We start from the raw sequence: 17,433 nt of genomic DNA on the forward strand, positions 1-17,433 counted from the left end.
TGGGCGTGGTGGTGGGCACCTGTAATCCCAGGTACTCGGGAGGCTGAGGCAGGAGAATTGCTTGAACCCAGGAGGCAGAGGTTGCAGTGAGCCGAGATGGCGCCATTGCACTCCAGCCTGGGCAACAAGAGCAAAACTCCATAAATAATAATAATAATAATCATCATCATCATCATCATCAGAGATAGTGAAAAATATATATGTACAAAAATATTCTTTACATTTTATGGAGGGAATATCTTTGAGGAATGTATCAATATGCTTTCCTCCTACACATTTCCTTGCATGAATTTCCCTAGTGATTAGTAGAGTGCATTTTCTACCAGAAGGCAAAAATGGAAAATGAAAGAACACATAGCAGCTATAACTAAATTTCTTTTTTTTTTTTTTTTTTTTTTTGAGAGGAGTCTCGCTCTGTCGCCCAGGCCGGACTGCGGACTGCAGTGGCGCAATCTCGGCTCACTGCAAGCTCCGCTTCCCGGGTTCACGCCATTCTCCTGCCTCAGCCTCCCGAGTAGCTGGGACTACAGGCGCCCGCCACCGCGCCCGGCTAATTTTTTTGTATTTTTAGTAGAGACGGGGTTTCACCGTGTTAGCCAGGATGGTCTCGATCTCTTGACCTCATGATCCACCCGCCTCGGCCTCCCAAAGTGCTGAGATTACAGGCGTGAGCCACCGCGCCCGGCCACTAAATTTCAAGACTAGATTTTACTACATGCACTCTAAAAAAAATCTGGCTTAAAAATCCGGTTGGGCGCCATGGCTCACGCCTGTAATCCTAACACTTTGGGAGGTTGAGGCAGGTGGATCGTTTGACGCCAGAAGTTCGAGACCAGCCTGGTCAACATTGTGAAACCCTGTCTCTATTAAAAAGACAAAAATCAGCCAGGCGTGGTGGCCCATGCCTGTAATCCCAGCTACTCAGGAGGGTGAGGCACAAGAATCGCTTGAACCTGGGAGGCAGAGGTGCAGTGAGCCGAGATCGTGCCACTGCACTCCAGGCTGGGAGACAGAGCGAGACTCCGTCTCAAAAAAAAAAAAAAAAAACTGTACCTACTACACACGTAATAGAAAATATTAGACACAACAACAGTAGTATGACATCTACAACCGCCAGGACCCAAGCCAAGAACCTGTTGGGCTGTTTATGATGAACACCACCCCCTGAAGGAGATGCTGTTACCACCCTTAATCTATACTTGTGGAAACAGGCACACAGATGTGGAGTCAGTTGTCCCTGGTCTGTCAGACTCTATATTACACACTGGCTTGCAGAATGCTTTCCTGCCCCCAGTATAAGAATAAAAGACACACTGGGGAAGTGTGTAAAAGAGCCAGCAAAACTTTTTAAAAAATCATGGAAGTCACTGCTCACAGAAATAGTGCAAAATGGAAAGAAAAAATAAACCATGAAGGAAATTGTTCAAAGAGTAGGATCTAAGTATTATGAAATGATCTTTTTTTTTTTTTTTTTTGAGACAAGGCCCAGGTTGGAGTACAGTGGTACAATCAAGGCTCACTGCAGCCTTGACCTCCTGGGCTCAAGCGACCCTCCCACTTCAGCCCCCTGTGGCTCCCAAAAGCTGAGACTATAGGTACACACCACCACAGCCTGCCAATTTTATTGTTTATGTTTTGTAGAGACAGGATCTCACTATGTTGCCCAGGCTGGCCTCCAACTTGATCCTGGGATCAAGCAATCCTCCTGCCTTGGCCTCCCAAAGTGCTGGGATTACAGGCCTAAGCCATGACGCCTGGCCTATTTTTTTTTTACTCACCTGGAAGAAATTAGACACTTGTATTTGTATTCAACAAATGTCTATATTGACAAGACAAAGCTAGGCACTGTTCTGGTAATGTGCTGAAAATACATTGGTGAGCAAAAACAAAGCAAAACAAATATAGTTTCTGTCCTTATAATGATCACTTTCTGATATTAACCTTTGAAATAGGGAGTCAGGGGTTATTTCTGTTGTACAGCTTAATTGTTAATTTTTTTTTTGCTCTTCTATACTACATATTGTATTAGCAAAAGACATGAATAAAAAATTTTCGAGTCTTTTTGAAATAATTTGTGGGACACCTTAATGCTAAATAGAATAGTTTAAAAATTTTCGAAAGAAATGATGCAAACATCAATCTCAGTATGTTTAAAATGTACCTTTATAGATGGAAAACCGCTAAGGAAATAAAAAAATATGATTAGTGATGATGGCATGTTGATGGAACTGTGGATAGTTTTCTTCACTATATTTTATCTCTCAGTGCTATGAAAAGATTGTTTCTACACGTATAAAGAAAAATGACGGGAAATATAAATACTTTATTTCACAATGTTTATTAGGCACCCAGTAAATTCTAAGTGTCCTTGCAGGTACTGAGGACAAAAGACTGAAACACACACACACAGACCACAGCTCCTGCCCTCATAAGAGAACACGGTGACAGCTGTCTTTGGATCACGAGTTAATGAATTGTGCACTGGAGTTTTACAGGAACACAGAACATTCCAGAAAACGTTTGCATTATTTCAATCAAAACGACGAAAATCACAAAAACCGTTTTTCAAAAATGTGAAACCGAGTTTTAAAATAAGGATGTTGAAGTCGTGACGCAAGTAGGAATGTCAGTATGTGGAAAATGCACCGTTATGGATGAAAAACCCTCTTAAGGAAGAAATTTCACAAAGCATAATGAATGGCCACCGCTGTGTGATAGGACGGTGGCTAAGATTCGTTTTCTTTATTCTGCGTTATTTCGCCTCGCATGTTCTCCAGCAAGGCTGAACGCCCTACCTAATGAAAGAATACAGTGATGAAGGCCAACGGATTCCAGGACGACGTGGGGGAAAGACCATTCAGAGCAGCAGAATAAGGGTTACTAAGGGACGCAGGCAGGTCCGCGGGAGACAGGCCGATTTGAAAAGCAAAAAGGCTTTGTCCACCAGTGCTGAGTTTCAGCGAGGGACCCCCCCCCCTCGCCCGCCAGAAGGTGGCAACTCAGGCTCCAGGACCAGCCGGTTCACACGCCAGGGAAGGAGGAAAAAAAAAAACCGACCTCTTCCATCGGAAAACGATGGGCAGCGTTTTTTCGCTCGCGAAGGGAGGGGCGGAAGGCGAGCAGGGCCACTCCACAGTGCAACACTGCCACCTGCCGGCGAAATAAACCGAAAGCCACCAACCACAGAGGAAATTCCATCTTCTCCACTACTTTTCGGCACCAAGCCCTGAGAGATCCACTGGGGCAGGAAAGGAGAGCGACGAACAGAGAAGGGACTGGAACGGGCCGCGATGGCTCCGGCGAACAGGGAAGAGGGACTCACCCCTGCACAAAAGCCTCCCCTAGTCCCGCCCTCGCAACCACAGCAACTGCGCAATAAGTTCCTGCGGCGCCAGACACCCCCACTAGTTCCGCCCTCGGAACCATAGCATCCGGACAGAAAGTTCCTGCGCCGCCGGAAATACGCAGTCCGGAGGGCGGGGCTGGCCTAGGATTGACGAGCTCTGGGCCTGCGCGTCGGAGCCCGGGGAGGTCGGCTCGTCTCATCGGGGTTCGCCGCAGGCTTCCTTCCCTGCGGTTAGGAGCTGACGGCTGAGGGACACGACTGCCCAGCCGCCCCGCGTTCGAGACCTGTGCCAGTCCCAGAGCCATTCTCCTCCCATCCAGCCAGCCTTTGAACACGCTTCCCACGTGGCACACCCCGTCTTCCCCGCAGCCCTTAATCCGCCGATCCTCCCTGGCGATCTCAGCGCCCCCAGGGGCTGACCAGGCCACCGCCAGAACCTCTCCGTCCTCACGGGTCTCCTCCTGCCCACCTAAGTCTCTTCTGCCAGCGGTCATGCCCTGGGCCTCAGGAAAGACCGCACCCCTCCACGATGTGAAGGAATGCACGGGCGTCATGCCTGTCTGAGCACTGATGAGAAAAACCTTAACAAGCCTTACAAATTATTGTACCTTTCTCCATGACCAAGAGAGATTGCTTCTCTCTTTCACTGTCATCCTACCTCCATTGCTAACATACCCCCCAACAATGCTAGGAACCCTCTTCCATTTCAGTGGCCTACCCTAAGGATTCATCGAGAAGACAGAAGCAATCCACTGGGAACTCTTAGGGCTTCCCAAGCCCGGTCTACCCGTGCCTGCCCTGGCATTCTCTGCCGCCCTTCTGCATACAGTGCTCCTAACTGAAGCCAGCTCCTCACCTCAGCTCAGGATCCCATACCTCCCACCTTCTCAGGGGCTTTGCTCCTGCAATGATCCCTCCTCCCTTCAAAGTCATCAACTGCCCCCTCTACGTTGGAGCACTCCACAAGCAAAGGAGGAAAAACCCACCCTCTCCCCACATGTCCTTCAGCAGCTGCTGGCACAGAATGTGCTGCCCTTCAACAAAAACTGCCTGGAGTTCTGAGGCCACGGCCTCCTCAACTCCCTTCAATAGGGCTTTTGTCCCTAATCTGTATTTTGGGGTGGCTGAGGTGGGAGGATCTCTTGAAACCAGGATTTTGAGGCTGCAGTGAGCTATGATTGTGCCACTATAGTCCAGCCTTGGTGACAGAACGAGAGGGTGTCTCAAAAAAAAAAAAAAAAAAAAAGAGAGAGAAACAAGAGGGAAAAATCTCCCCTTCTTCTTATAAGTAAGAAGCAGTAAACCTTTGGCTTACTGCTTTTTCCCTAGGCGTCCTTTCCTGGCTCTGGACACATTTTTTTGAATCCAAGCTCCATGGCTCAGGCCCTTGGAAACATATTCTACTGTTGTTCTGAACCAAGTACAAATTCCCAACTGTGACCTTCTTGACCTGGATATAACAGGGCAAGTCTGAGGTGAACATGAAAGACAAGCCAAAGAAGGTGTCCTGTTCTGGTCACAGGGGGTAGGAGGTCCCCAGAGGCAGTGACAGAGTCAGACATCTCAGAGGAGGAAGGTGTGACAAGGGAGTGGAGAGAAGCTTCGAGTAAAAGAGGGTTTTACCTCATGCAAATTTGGAGCTCGTTTTGCAGAATGGCCCAGTAGCCTCTTTGGGCAGAGGGATGTCTGGAGTTGAGGAATTTCACTTTGTAGAGCTGATCTTGGTTCCTGCTGTTTTGGGAGACCTCAGCGCTCTACATTCTCTGAGAGGGGAATGTGGAAGTGGCTGATTCAAAACCCAGCGGTGCTACCATGAAGCAAGCATAAGCCAGATAGGAGCTAGGAGACCCTGCAGCTGAGGCTGTGGAGTGGACAGCACTGGTCAGGGGTCGGGGAGAGCATGAGGCCCTGACTCAGAAGGGTCGGCTAGATGCCAGCACAGGTGGGCTGAGGTCAAGTCAGCCAGGGAGCACAAGGTCCTGATCAAGATGAGAGAGAGAGACAAAAATGCAAGTTACGCCAGCCTCACGCATGGGTGAGCAGGGCAGCGTCGACAGCAGGACCTGGGGACAAGAGTGAGCCTTCCCTCAGAACCCACCGAGGACACTGCAGCCAACATACAATGTCATAGGCCCCTTCCCACATCACCATGGAGACTCAAAAGCCATATATGCCCCTTCCCCATCTTGGACAAGAGTAGGGAGGTGGGGTGGCAATCCAAGAGACTGATCATTTTCGCCAAAACAGATTGAGCATTTATACAAATGGATCGGTTACATGACAGCATCAGATGACACCAGATTAGACGAAAATCCAGTGCGTTTGTTTCCCCTTACTATCCAGTCCAGAGGGTGGACAAGCAAGACAAATGTCAAATCAGTCAGAGAGAATAAATAAGCCAGCGTGCTTGTGGGGTGTGAGGGGCTTGAGTGAGTTTGTTGCTCTCTGCATACCATTCCCTGCGACTCCTCCTCTGCACACCGTCTTATCAGTCCACAGTAGCAAGGGAATGGGACGTACTTGTCTTCCCTACTGTAACCCAGGACAATTTTAACCCCTCATAAGCAGACTCCCAAAACAGGACACAGAAAGAGCAAAGAATCTGACAGACACACAGAAGAGAGAAGCTGTCGTTCCCCTCCCCATGCAAGGCCAGGCTCTACTGTCCTTTATTAAGACAGACCCCATTTCCCAGGGCCTGAGCCATGGAGCTTGGAGTCAAAACATGTGTCGAGAGCCAGGAAAGGATGTCTAGAGAAAAAGCAGTAAGCCAAAGATTCTCATAAAAAGAAGGGTTTTTTTCCCCCTTCTTTTCTTTCTCTTTTTTTTTCTGTCACCTAGGATGGAGTACAGTAGCATGATTGTAGCTCACTGCAGCGTCAAACTCCTGGGCTCAAGAGATCCTCCCACCTCAACCACCCCAGTAGCTGGGAGTACAATCTTGCACGACCACAGCCGGCTAATGTTTTTATTCTTTGTAGAGATGAGGTCTCATTATGTTGCCCAGGCTGGTCTCAAACTCCTGGGCTCAAGCATCCTCCAGCCTCAGCCTCCCAAATGATTGGGATTACTGGTGTGTACCAGTGTGCATGGCTGCCACCTCTTCTTTAATCATCTGAGATGATATTAACTCCCCATAAATAGACCCTCCCCAAACAGAGCACAGAAAGAGGAGAAAACCAGACACACACAGAGAGTGGAGCAGCCAATGAGCGTGTCACCGAGGTGAGCAGGGCCTCCTTCAGGGCCATCATTGACATCCCCAGCCATGCCGGGCTCCAGTGTTCTTTATTAAGATAGACCCCACTTCCCAGGACCTGAGCCCTGGAGGGTGGAGTGAAACAATGTTTCTACAGACAGAGAATGACGCCTGGAGCAAATGCAGCAAGCCAAAATTTCTTATTAAAAGAAGGAGGGCTTTTTTCCTTCCTATTTCTTTCAAATGTACATAATGCCAGTTTCCTCCCAAGAGTTGAAAGGTACAGGGGAGAACTTCAGTGGCTCCTGACAGACCCAAGAATTGTCTCCCATTGTTGTATCCTGGCAGAAACTCATTCTCCAAGGCAGAACCTCCTCATTTCTCACAGACGCCATGCGCCCTAGTGCACTGGCATGGCCCTTTGGGCAGGTCTCGCTTCTCCACCCCGGGGCGAGTCAGCTGTCTTGGGCCCCATTGAGTGTTTTCATTTAATAATAGAACTCGGTTACTAATAGAAGCAGCCGCCACAGTTAGACAGCAAAAACAAAATCAGTAATAGCACTCTTACTTCACGTGGAGCTGTAAGATTTAGAAAACATTTATATACGCATTGCCTGATTCGGTTTTGTTTTTTTTTGATATAAGGTCTTGCTCTGTCACCCAGGCTGGAGTGCAGTCGTGCAAACATACATCACTACAGCCTTGAACTCGGCTCAAGCCATCCTCCCACCTCAGCCTCTCGAGTACCTGGAACTCCGAGGCCACTCCACCACTTCCAGATCCTGATTGGGCTCTTGACGCTGAGAAAATCATGACTTCCACAGCACTTCTTCACGCCCCAGCAGCGCTCTGAGGCCGAAGAGTCTGGCAAATGCACACCAGGAACCAGACCCAGAGAGGCTCCCGGGGCCCTTGTGTCTCATCCTGAGATCTCTAAAGGGGTCAATTTGGAGGAAGGGCGTGCTTCTCCTCTTGTCACATTCATGCCTCATGTGGTCCCCTTTTCTTATAGGGGGTACCACCCAGGTAGACACCCGGAGACTGCCCCCCCCCCACCGCCCAAAGAGAGTTTAAGGAGCTTTGCAATGACGAGTTTCCTTGACAAAGACCTTCAGTTCCCGACGGCACCTGGGCTGTGGCCAGGTAGTGGTGGCTGGAATCTTTCTTGCATCGCACCTGCTCCTTCACTGGGGAACATACCCCACCATTATTTATGGCGGCCTGGTACAGGTGGCTCGCTGCAAGATATCTGAACCTCCAGACTCGGGGCTCTCCTTGCATTTGCAAAGAATACTGGAACACGGGGCCCCTCGCAGTTCCCATGGAGAACTCCCAGGGGAGTTCTGTTGTGTCACCCTGTGGCTAAGTCTCTCTGATCCTCCCTTGAAGGGCCCAAAAGCACAGCCTCCTCACCACGAGGGATAACACTTTGAGGCCACTCTCACGATAGGGCTTAGGTTTACAGAGGCTGGAAATCCATCCTGGCCAGGGCCACAGACACGAACAACCTCTTCTGGCTTCTGATGGCTCCTCGTGCTTCTATGGTCCCAAGCAAAGAAACCTCCTCACACCAGGCATTCGGTGTGAATCTCCAGACCAAGTGCCCCCATGTACCCAGCCCCTTCCATCACCCCAACTCCAAGCCCCATAGGTCCACCACTCTCATCACAAGACTGCTCTGTGCTCCCCCAGCAGGACTCCTCCTCCCTCTTGCGACCTTTGCCCTGGACACTCCTCATTCTGTAGGTGACCCTGGGTGCCCACATGGCCACCCAGACTTGGTTCCGTCCTTCTCCGCTTGTGTGCTGATGGATTCCTGCATCACGAACTCCACCAGGAAAATCCCAGCTGAGCCCCAGAGCCCCCACAGGGCATGGTTTCAGGAGCATGTCCACTCAGATATCCCACAAGCCCAACAAATCAGCGGATGACCCCCAACTGTGTCCCTTGTCTCATGGGTTGGCACCGCCATCCACTCAGTTCCTGAACCCCAGAACCTAGGAATACTGCCAGGTTGGCTGCAGATCACCCCGTGACTCTGCTGCAAGCCTCTGGAAAAAGCCAACCATGACCTCCACATTGCCACAGATGAGCAAAGAGTCTCCCGTGAAGGCTTTGTATTGGCAGAGACTCTCTACAGGCATCCGAGTGGAGGCCCAGACCCTGGCTTGGGTGGCCCCCACAGGGAAGGCCAAAGAGCAGACCCGGGCCCTGTAATGTATCTCAGAGACCGAAATGCTCATCTCCTCCGAGAACTCAGCAGATAACCTCCAAATCCCTAAATCGGGACATAGCAGTAGGAGCCCATCATTTAGAGACACAGAGGTTAATATTCAGAAGAAATAGCTGAAGAAAAAAAAGAGAAGTTTGCGGAGGTGGGTCTCCACGGGTGCACCACATGAAACAAGGGACTGCTGAATTGTATTTTTCATCGTACATTTCCTAGTCCTATATGGCCCTTTAAGCGGAAGGATTAATCTGATATCACTAATTATAATAACATGTGAAAAATACATCTCAACACAATAAGTAAGCCTGGGAGCTGATTCATCCACATCAGCTAATACAAATCTGAGCCATCTCTAGATTCAAGGAATGATTGTGCAATGTCTCGTGAACGTATCTATGCAGTGTTTTACTCACCTTGAAAATAACTACCATATGATCCAGTAATCTCACTTCTGGGTATTGATAGTCCAGATACTCCCCATGTTCTTTGCAGCACTATTCATAATAAGCAAGATATAAGAACAACCTAAGTGTTCATTGATGGATGAATAAAGAAAATGTGGTATATACATACAATGGAATATTATTCAGCCTTAAAAAGAAGGAAATTCTGACATTTGTGACAACATGGATGGACCCTGAGAACATTATGCTAAGTGAATATGCCAGACACATACTGTGCGACCTCACTTATATGTGGAATCTAAAATAGTTAAACTTATATAAACAGAGAGTAGAATGGTGGTTGCCAGGGGCTGGTTGGGGCAGGGAATGGAGGGTTGATGGTCAAAGTTGCAAAGTTTCAGTTATGTAAGATAAAGAAGTTCTAGAGATCTACTACATAGCATAATGCCTATAGCTAAAAACACTGTATTGTATACTTCAAATTTACTAAAAGAGTAGATTTTTGGCTAAGTGTTCTTATCACACACACACACACACACACACACACACACACACACACACACAAAATAAGAATAATATTAATAATAATAATAATAATAGTAATAAAAAAGAGGGTATGTGGAAAGTTAAAAAAAAAAAAAAAGAAAAGAACTCGAGCATAGGAGACCCTCACCAGAAACAACAATAAATTTCACTGGCAAATGCAGCATGTTAACGTGAAAATTTTGATTTCAGGAATATAGAGGAAGGCGAGCACAGTGTCAGCTGTAAAACACGCACTCACATTACTTTGAATGTTTTTGACCTTTCCTTAGCCCGGGAAATCTATTAGCCCTAGAAACCGCCAGCACAGCAGGGAGCAAAGACGTCCTGCTTTCCCTTTGGCGAGGGACCTTGTGTTTCAGATATGCTTTACTTCCTATGAGGATGGTTCCGTTTCTGCAGCTGCCACCTCGTCTTTCATAAGAGGAGTTATAAAATGATACTCATGCTGGGGCCACATTCCAGACCTGCTAAGTCAGACTCTCTGGGGATGGGGTCCGGCATTTGCTCTTGGACAAATGCTCCACGAGAGACCTGATGCACAGCTGACGTTGAGAGACATAAGCACACACTCCCTTTCGCCTGCCCTGATTTTTAAATATAACCTTGGACTTCATAGCCTTGTTTGTAGTTAATGAATTGGGAAAAAAAAAGTAGGGGTTGCCTTCTCTTTCAAGAGCATCTTTTGACATATTTATTCTACAGCCACGTCTAGAGCAATTTCAAGGACTTAGGAGGGTGGTTATGCCACAGCTTTACCTTTCCGACCTGATGCTCGGCAGGCCCAGGAGAGGGAGAAGAGCCTTGCAGGTGGAAAGGGGTCGAGAGTTCTGTTGTCTTGGTAACCGTGCTGCCACTCATCCCATTGGGGTGCTCAGCTCCGGCAGGGGCCCTGTGGGTGAGACAACACCCCTCCCCACTCTGGCTGTCTTCCTGTGCTCAGAGGTTGAAGCTAAGGGCTGAGGTTGGTTACCAGAGAAACTGAAGCCAGGTCCTTGAGATTGGTGAACAGAAAAACCGGCAGTGGAATTCAGGACGTAGCATGGATTATGGGAGCCAGCCCACAGACAGAGGATTGACAGTCACTAGTGCATGCACCCACAGGGTGCCTGCGCAGGAACGCGTGCACACCGCACACAGACACACACGTAGACATGTGCACTCACCAGCACTCCCTCTGCCCAGGTGTGCACAGTCTATCTGGCTGGAGCATCAAGTGCACGTGGAGGAGCCAGGCGACCAGGCAGGACATGTAGGCAGGATGCGGAACAGGGAAAGAGAGGGGATGTTGCTTACTGTTGTAGAAAAAAATGACTGCATACCCCTTCCTCCGTGACTTACGGTCACACTTGCACTACATTTTTTAAATGGCTTTACTAAGGTATAATTTGCTTGCCACAAACTTCACGTACCTAAAGGGAATAACACAGTGAGTTTTAGTAAATTTACACAGTTTTGCAGCCCTCACCACTATCCAGTTTCAGAATACTTCCATCACCCCAGAAAGATCGCTGGTACCCACTAGCAGCAGTGAATCCCCATTACTTTACCTCCAGGCCCACCCAGGCAACTAGCAAGCTCCTTTCTCTCTCTTTAGAGCTGCCTCTCTGGGCATTTCCTATAAACTGACTTGTGCAATAAGTGGTCTTCTGTGTCTGACATCTGTCAATGAGCATAATGTCTTGGAGGCTCAAACGTGCATCAGTAGTGTGTTCTTTGTCACGGCTCAGTAACATTCGGCTGTACGGATATACCACTTCTTTATCCCTTTACTGATTGGTAGACATTTGGCTTGTTTCCACCCTGGGGCCTTCCTGCAAAATGCTGCAGTGAACATCTGAGCACATGTCTTTGTGTAGACATGATTTTATCACTAATGGGTGTCAGATATTGTCAAATACTTTTCTCTGTCTATGAAGATGATGATATAGTTCCTGTCCTCTATTATATTAACAGGGTGGATTACCTTGACTGAAATTTGAATGTTAAGCCAATCTTGCATTCCTAGAATAAATGTCACTTGGTCATGTTGCATAACCCACTGTATGTGTCGCTGGATTGGGGTTTGTTAATGTTTTGTTGGGGATTTTTGCACGCATATTCATGATGGATATTGGTTTATGGTATTCTTCTGCTGTCTCTGGCACTATTATTATTATTATTATTTTATTATTGTTTTTGAGACAAGTCTTGCTCTGTCACCCAGGCTGGAGTGCAGTGGTGCGCTCTGGGCTCACTGCAACTTCTGCCTCCCAGGTTCATGCAATTCTCCTGCCTCCGCCTCCCGAGTAGCTGGGAATACAGGTGCCCACCAGTATACTCAGCTAATTTTTGTATTTTTAGCAGAGTCGGGGTTTCACCATGTTGGCCAGGCTGGTCACAAACTCCTGACCTCAGGTGGTCCGCCCACCTCAGACTCCCAACACGTTGGGATTACAGGCGTGAGCCACCACGCCCAGCCTCTATCTGCCTTTAGTAGCAGGGTAATACAATTTTCAAAGGATAAGTTGGGAAATGTTCCCTCCTCTATAGTCTAAAAGAATCTGTGAAGGGTTGGCATTATGTATTTTGTAAATGTTGGATAGCCTTCACCAATGAGGCAGTGGAGCCTAGACTGTCCCTAGTGGGAAGATTTTTAATGTAGTCTTTCTATTTCCTTACATTCTCCGGGTCTACTCAGATGTCCCATGTGATCACTGCATTTGCACCTTTCTCTGTCCCAATCCTCTCTCGCCTGCTGGTGCCTTTGGTTTGGTCTCTACTCTAGAATGTCGCATGCTGGACACCTGTGGACATCACAGGACTGCAGATCCTAGTCTGTAACTTGGGATAGTATGGTGTCTCAGACATGACCCCCAAGTCCCATCCACCCCCCATACACAGGTACAGGGACAAAGACCTGGAGGTGAGGATGTGGAGGGTGTGCCGAGTGCCTCAGTTACCTCCACCCACCCACCTTCCATGTCTGTTCCTGGAGACCCTGTGGCACTGTGCATCTGTGACTTCCCTGAGCAAGCCCCTGATGCCTGCTTTTTCCAACTGAGATCCTTCTCACTCCTTTCATCTCCTGAGACTGGGACCACATGGGATCAACCACCTGTTCTCTGACACAACGATGCGTATCTGCTAGCATTTCAATATTTGTGTTCCCTCCAAAACTCACAGTGAAATGAATCCCCACTGCAACAGTGTTGGGAGGTGTGGAATAACAGCAGGTGTTTAGGCCATCACGGCAGAGCCCTCGTGAGTGAATGAATGCTGCTATGAAAAGAGCTTGCAGAAGTGGGTTTGCTCTCTCTTTTCCTCTTCTGCTATGTGAGGACATAACATTCTCCCCGGCTTGTCCTTCCACCTTTTGCCACGTGAGGAAATACCAGGAAGACTCTTGCCAGATACCAGATACTGGTACCTTTGTTTTGGACTTCTCAGCATCCAGGGTCGCGAGAAATAAATTTGTTTCCATTACAAATTGCCAGCTGTCTTGGTCCATTTTGCTTTGCTATAACAGAATACCTGAGACTCAGTAATTTCTAAAGAAAATGGGAGGCCAGGCACGGTGGCTCATGCCTGTTAATCCCAGCATTCTGGGAGGCCAAGGTAGGAGGAACACCTTCAGGCCTGAAGTTCGAGATCTGCCTGGGCAACACGGCCAGACGCTATCTCTACAAAACATTTAAAAATCAGCCTGGCATGGCAGTACATCCTTGAGCTACTTGGGAAGCTCAGGTGGGAGGATCCCACCTGAGTTCAAGGCTGTAGTGAGCCATGATCGTGCCACTCCACTCTCGTCGGCAACAGAGCATCACCCGGTCTCTTAAAAAAAATTAAAATAAATAAATCTTTTAAAAAGAAAAAGTTGGTCTATCTGGCTCACAATTCTGGTGGCTGAAACATTCATTTTTGGGCAACTGCATCTGGTGAGGGCCTCGGGCTGCTTCAACTCATGGTGGAAAGTGGAAGGGGAGCCGGCGTGTGCAACGAGATCACATGGAAAGAAGGAAGGGAGAGAGAATCGAGGGAGGCCAGAATCTTGTGAACAATCCACTCTCCTGCGAACTAATCCATACCTGTGAGAGTAAGAACTCAGCCCAGCAGGATGGCATCACAGGACACTGACTCATTCATGAGGGATCCCCACCACGACCCAAACACCTCCCACTAGGACCCACCTCCCAACACTGCAGCACTGAGGATTCAACTTCAACCTGACTCTTGGTGGGGATAAACACACCATATCCAGTCCAGAGCACCCAACCTGTTGTATTTCATGATATAGTGGAAGGACACAGACTAAGATGGGGTCGGATCTCTCTCCCTGATGAATCGCTCAATCCCCCGGAGCGGGGCTACCTCTGCAACTCCTCCTCACCTCCCCACCACGACAGTCGACGTAGCCCAGAAGGGAGACAGGCAAGGTGAGAAAATGGAAACCCTGATGATTGCTGAAATGATGACTGTCACTGGCAGCATGGACCTGGTGTGCTTGCTGCGCTGACTGAGAAGGTCCGCAGAGAGCATCTGAGTGGTTGGGGAGTGAGACAAAGGCATGCATCTCTGGCCACCACTTTAGGACCTGCACAAACTCTCCACAAGGTGGGGATGGTTGTACCTGGCCCACGGCACTGTGTGGAGGATTCAGCAATGGATCTCACCAAGACTTGGTGCTACCAGCTATGAAATGAGCACCAAAGCCCGGCTCTAGGCACTTCACCCACAGCCTTCACAGAGGTGAACTGCTGAAGGGGGGCCAGCTCCGATCCCAGCCTACCTAGGTTCGGGTGCTAGTTCTACCTCTTACTGCCTGTGCCACCGTGGGCTAGTTCCCTAACTTCTCTGGTGTTCTGCTTTCGAAATTCATAAAGCGGAACTGAAAATGTTGCTAGAGGATGGGTGTGTGGGAGTGGAGGAAGGCAGCTGACATATGGAAATGGGGAAAATACCATCAGAACCCTAGGAAACATCAGCCAAAGGGCAACGCCTCGAACCCCTTTGAAACCCTCCCGGATTCACTGGTCTCCATTTAGGCCTTTGTGTTTCAAGAAGGAATAGCCCTGCTTTTTTTTCCCTTCTCCCCTGGAGCTAGGTCAGTTCAACTGTCGACTCTCTCATGAGATCTCAGCATCAGAATCCAAGACACTTACCTGTTTTCAAGCCACTTCTGTCGGCAGGAGATGTGTAGACTTTTGCAGCAAGACAGCTCTGGGGACTACCTAAAACAGACTGACACAAAGCAGAATTTGTTTTCAGTTCAGAGGAGTCACATGGGTACTGGCTGGGTTCACATCTCAGGATTCTGCAGAGGTTAAAAAAAAAGGTAGATTTAGTCATTTGTGCCTCCTGAAATTAAAAGACACACATGTCTAAATCCCAATAAGATGTTGGAAGAACCCAAGGATGCTCTGGTTCTCACAAAGCAGGTGCAAACTGCTGCTCAGTTTCACCCACCCGGGCCCACCACACAACAAGCAATGGCGCCGCAGCCCCTAAGCCAGGGCACCAGCACCAACACGCAGGGCTCTCACCGTGGGCGGCGGACTCTGCTTCCACGTCTCCTGTGCACAGGAAGCCTCTCTTCAAAGCCATGGCCCTGCCTCGCTGGTCTCGATGCTGGTCCCGCTGCAGGGCTCAAACAGTGACTGGGCTGTGTTCTCTGGTGCCCTCCCTCCCCCGTTCCCAGTCTCCACAGCACAGAGCTTCCCTCAATAAACCCGGATCCCCTGCTGGGAGATTTCAAGGTAACCAGCTCAGATCTAATGAGAAACAAACCAATACTGAGGAACAAACCTGAATTCTACACCCATTTTCCATTCCTACATATATTTATTTGGTATTGATGATGAGGAACCCCGTCAAAAATTCCTGTAAGGGAGACTACTACTCGACTGTTAGGGGTATTGCAACATTTACATACATGTAGCTTATCACATACGTAAACATTTACACAAATAGTACAGCGGTGAACCACCAAGTTCTCATTCCACATTCCTTTCCCACACTGCGTTTACCTGCCCATTCTTGAAACTGGATCTCAGGGCAGCACATTGCATTTCAACAGGCCTAGTGCTGCTTCTCAGAGGCAGTCAACTCAATGGTGCAAAAGCACAGGACAGCGACAAGGCATTCACACTACACAGACATGTGATCTCTTACTGACAGCAGGAAGGGAAGAGAGATGGAGATCCCGGGTGGGAAAGCGACAACATGCATCACAGGAGCCATGTGAGATGCGGTGAGGACCGCTGGTACGCAGCGTCCCTTGCCAAGGAATGCCTCACAGCCATCCGAGAATGACAGGCACGAAACATGAGGACCTTCCTCGGGTCAGTCAAGCATCATGCTGGGAGGACTCCCACGTGTCCCGGTACACAGGTCCTGGCACTCATCCGACCACAGCTTGCTGTTTGGTCCCCAAAATGGGCCCACACCCAGGCGCTGCCAACACGGCGGCTCCGTCTGAGTCCCTTCGGGTCTCCATCCCATGGGGGTGCACGTCTCAGTTTTCCTCTAACCACTGCTTGAGCAGCCTCTGAAACATTATTTTGCTCTCCTGCTGCCTCTCTCGCTGGCGCTTCTCCTCTGTCTCCTGTGGCTGGAGTGCCGCTTCAGGCAGAGGCCCGGGCTGGTTGGTGCCTAGGCTGAGAGTCAAGCCACTGAGGCCCTGCACCAGCGTCTCCCAGGAGGAGGGATGTGGGGCCCTGTTACTCTCCCCAGGGATCCCAGAAAGATTCGGCCTGTGGCTCTGGCAGTATCGACATTCACATCGGAATCGATTCTGACTTCTGTCACCTAATGGGGAGATTCTGGCTTCCCTCCCAACAGCATAGGGGGCCATGTGATCGCGGTGTCTCCTCCTCACATGCCGCAGGAATGCTTTCTTCCTCTGAAGGAACTCCAGCCTCTCCCACCGCCGCTCTTCCAGGGTCTTCTCCTCTCTGTACCGCTGGCGGAGCAGCCCCTCTGGGAGAGGCACGGCCTGGCTGGGGCCAGGACCGGGGCTCAGGTTACTGAGGCCCATCATCGGCTGTTCTGAGTACGAAGGCTGAGAGGGCGCTGGACCTTCCTGGGAAGTCTCTGCAGCTGTCATCGGGGAAGATTTGGAAGGCGATGCTGGATTCCGTTTCTGGAGTGGATCCATGGAGGTCTGGTCCCAGCTGGAAGCTCCGCCAGGCCCTCGGGTCCAGAAAAGGAGGTGAAGCTGGAGGTTCTCAGACACCAAGAAGGTGGCGAGGAATGTGTGCGGGCAGAACCCAGACTGCAACGCAAGGTGATAAGACAAGAAAACACAGAATTATTCATCTTACTCAACCTCTCTGTCCCTCCACTTCCTGTGTGTAGAATGGGGATTATAGAGAGACCCTGTCCTAGGCTTCTTCTGAGGATGACGTGAGATCATACATCTCACCAGCTTAGAATATTAATGCCATCTAATAAAGGATTTACAAATGATACCAATTAATGCATCCACGTGACACGGGGTGCAAAAGGATGCAATGCAGTTCGACGATGTCAATTCCCTGCTGACATTTTCCAACCCCTTCCCAAGCATCATTTGTAGAATAATCAATGTGTGACTCACAGGTGCTCTGCCCATGAGCGTTCATTTTCATCCACTCACAAGGGAGACTTTTACTCAACTGTAAGCGTTTGCACCATGGGGACACACCCTTTTGTATGTTCGCCTTCCTGACCACTGGGTTTGCATCTAGTCGAA

General features: G+C 49.1%; 1 protein-coding gene across 22 annotated transcripts in view, besides 4 other annotated features; it reads right to left on the reverse strand.

The window, feature by feature from the left end:
- Positions 2,272-3,244: an enhancer, noted in NCBI's record as "H3K27ac hESC enhancer chrX:52963212-52964184 (GRCh37/hg19 assembly coordinates)". NCBI's record gives its function as "activates a minimal SCP1, AML or CMV promoter by ChIP-STARR-seq in naive H9 embryonic stem cells {active_cell/tissue: H9 hESC(naive)}" and the evidence as "EXISTENCE:reporter gene assay evidence [ECO:0000049][PMID:30033119]".
- Positions 2,272-3,309: a biological region, named in NCBI's record as "H3K27ac hESC enhancer GRCh37_chrX:52963212-52964184".
- Positions 3,060-3,309: an enhancer, noted in NCBI's record as "active region_29650". NCBI's record gives its function as "activates an Ori minimal core promoter by ATAC-STARR-seq in GM12878 lymphoblastoid cells {active_cell/tissue: GM12878}" and the evidence as "EXISTENCE:reporter gene assay evidence [ECO:0000049][PMID:35858748]".
- Positions 3,245-4,216: an enhancer, noted in NCBI's record as "H3K27ac hESC enhancer chrX:52964185-52965156 (GRCh37/hg19 assembly coordinates)". NCBI's record gives its function as "activates a minimal SCP1, AML or CMV promoter by ChIP-STARR-seq in primed H9 embryonic stem cells {active_cell/tissue: H9 hESC(primed)}" and the evidence as "EXISTENCE:reporter gene assay evidence [ECO:0000049][PMID:30033119]".
- The window catches only part of FAM156A (family with sequence similarity 156 member A), a 48,219-nt gene continuing 46,308 nt past the window's right edge, over positions 15,523-17,433 (reverse strand). For all 22 annotated transcript variants that reach the window (NM_001242497.2, NM_001242496.2, NM_001242490.2 and 19 more), the window contains one exon: positions 15,523-16,974. In NM_001242497.2, the coding sequence (NP_001229426.1) occupies positions 16,216-16,857 (642 nt within the window). In that variant the 5' untranslated portion in view covers positions 16,858-16,974 and the 3' untranslated portion in view covers positions 15,523-16,215. The remainder of the gene's footprint in view (positions 16,975-17,433) is intronic.

Source organism: Homo sapiens, chromosome X, assembly GCF_000001405.40.
Source record: "Homo sapiens chromosome X, GRCh38.p14 Primary Assembly".
Lineage (NCBI taxonomy): Eukaryota > Metazoa > Chordata > Mammalia > Primates > Hominidae > Homo > Homo sapiens.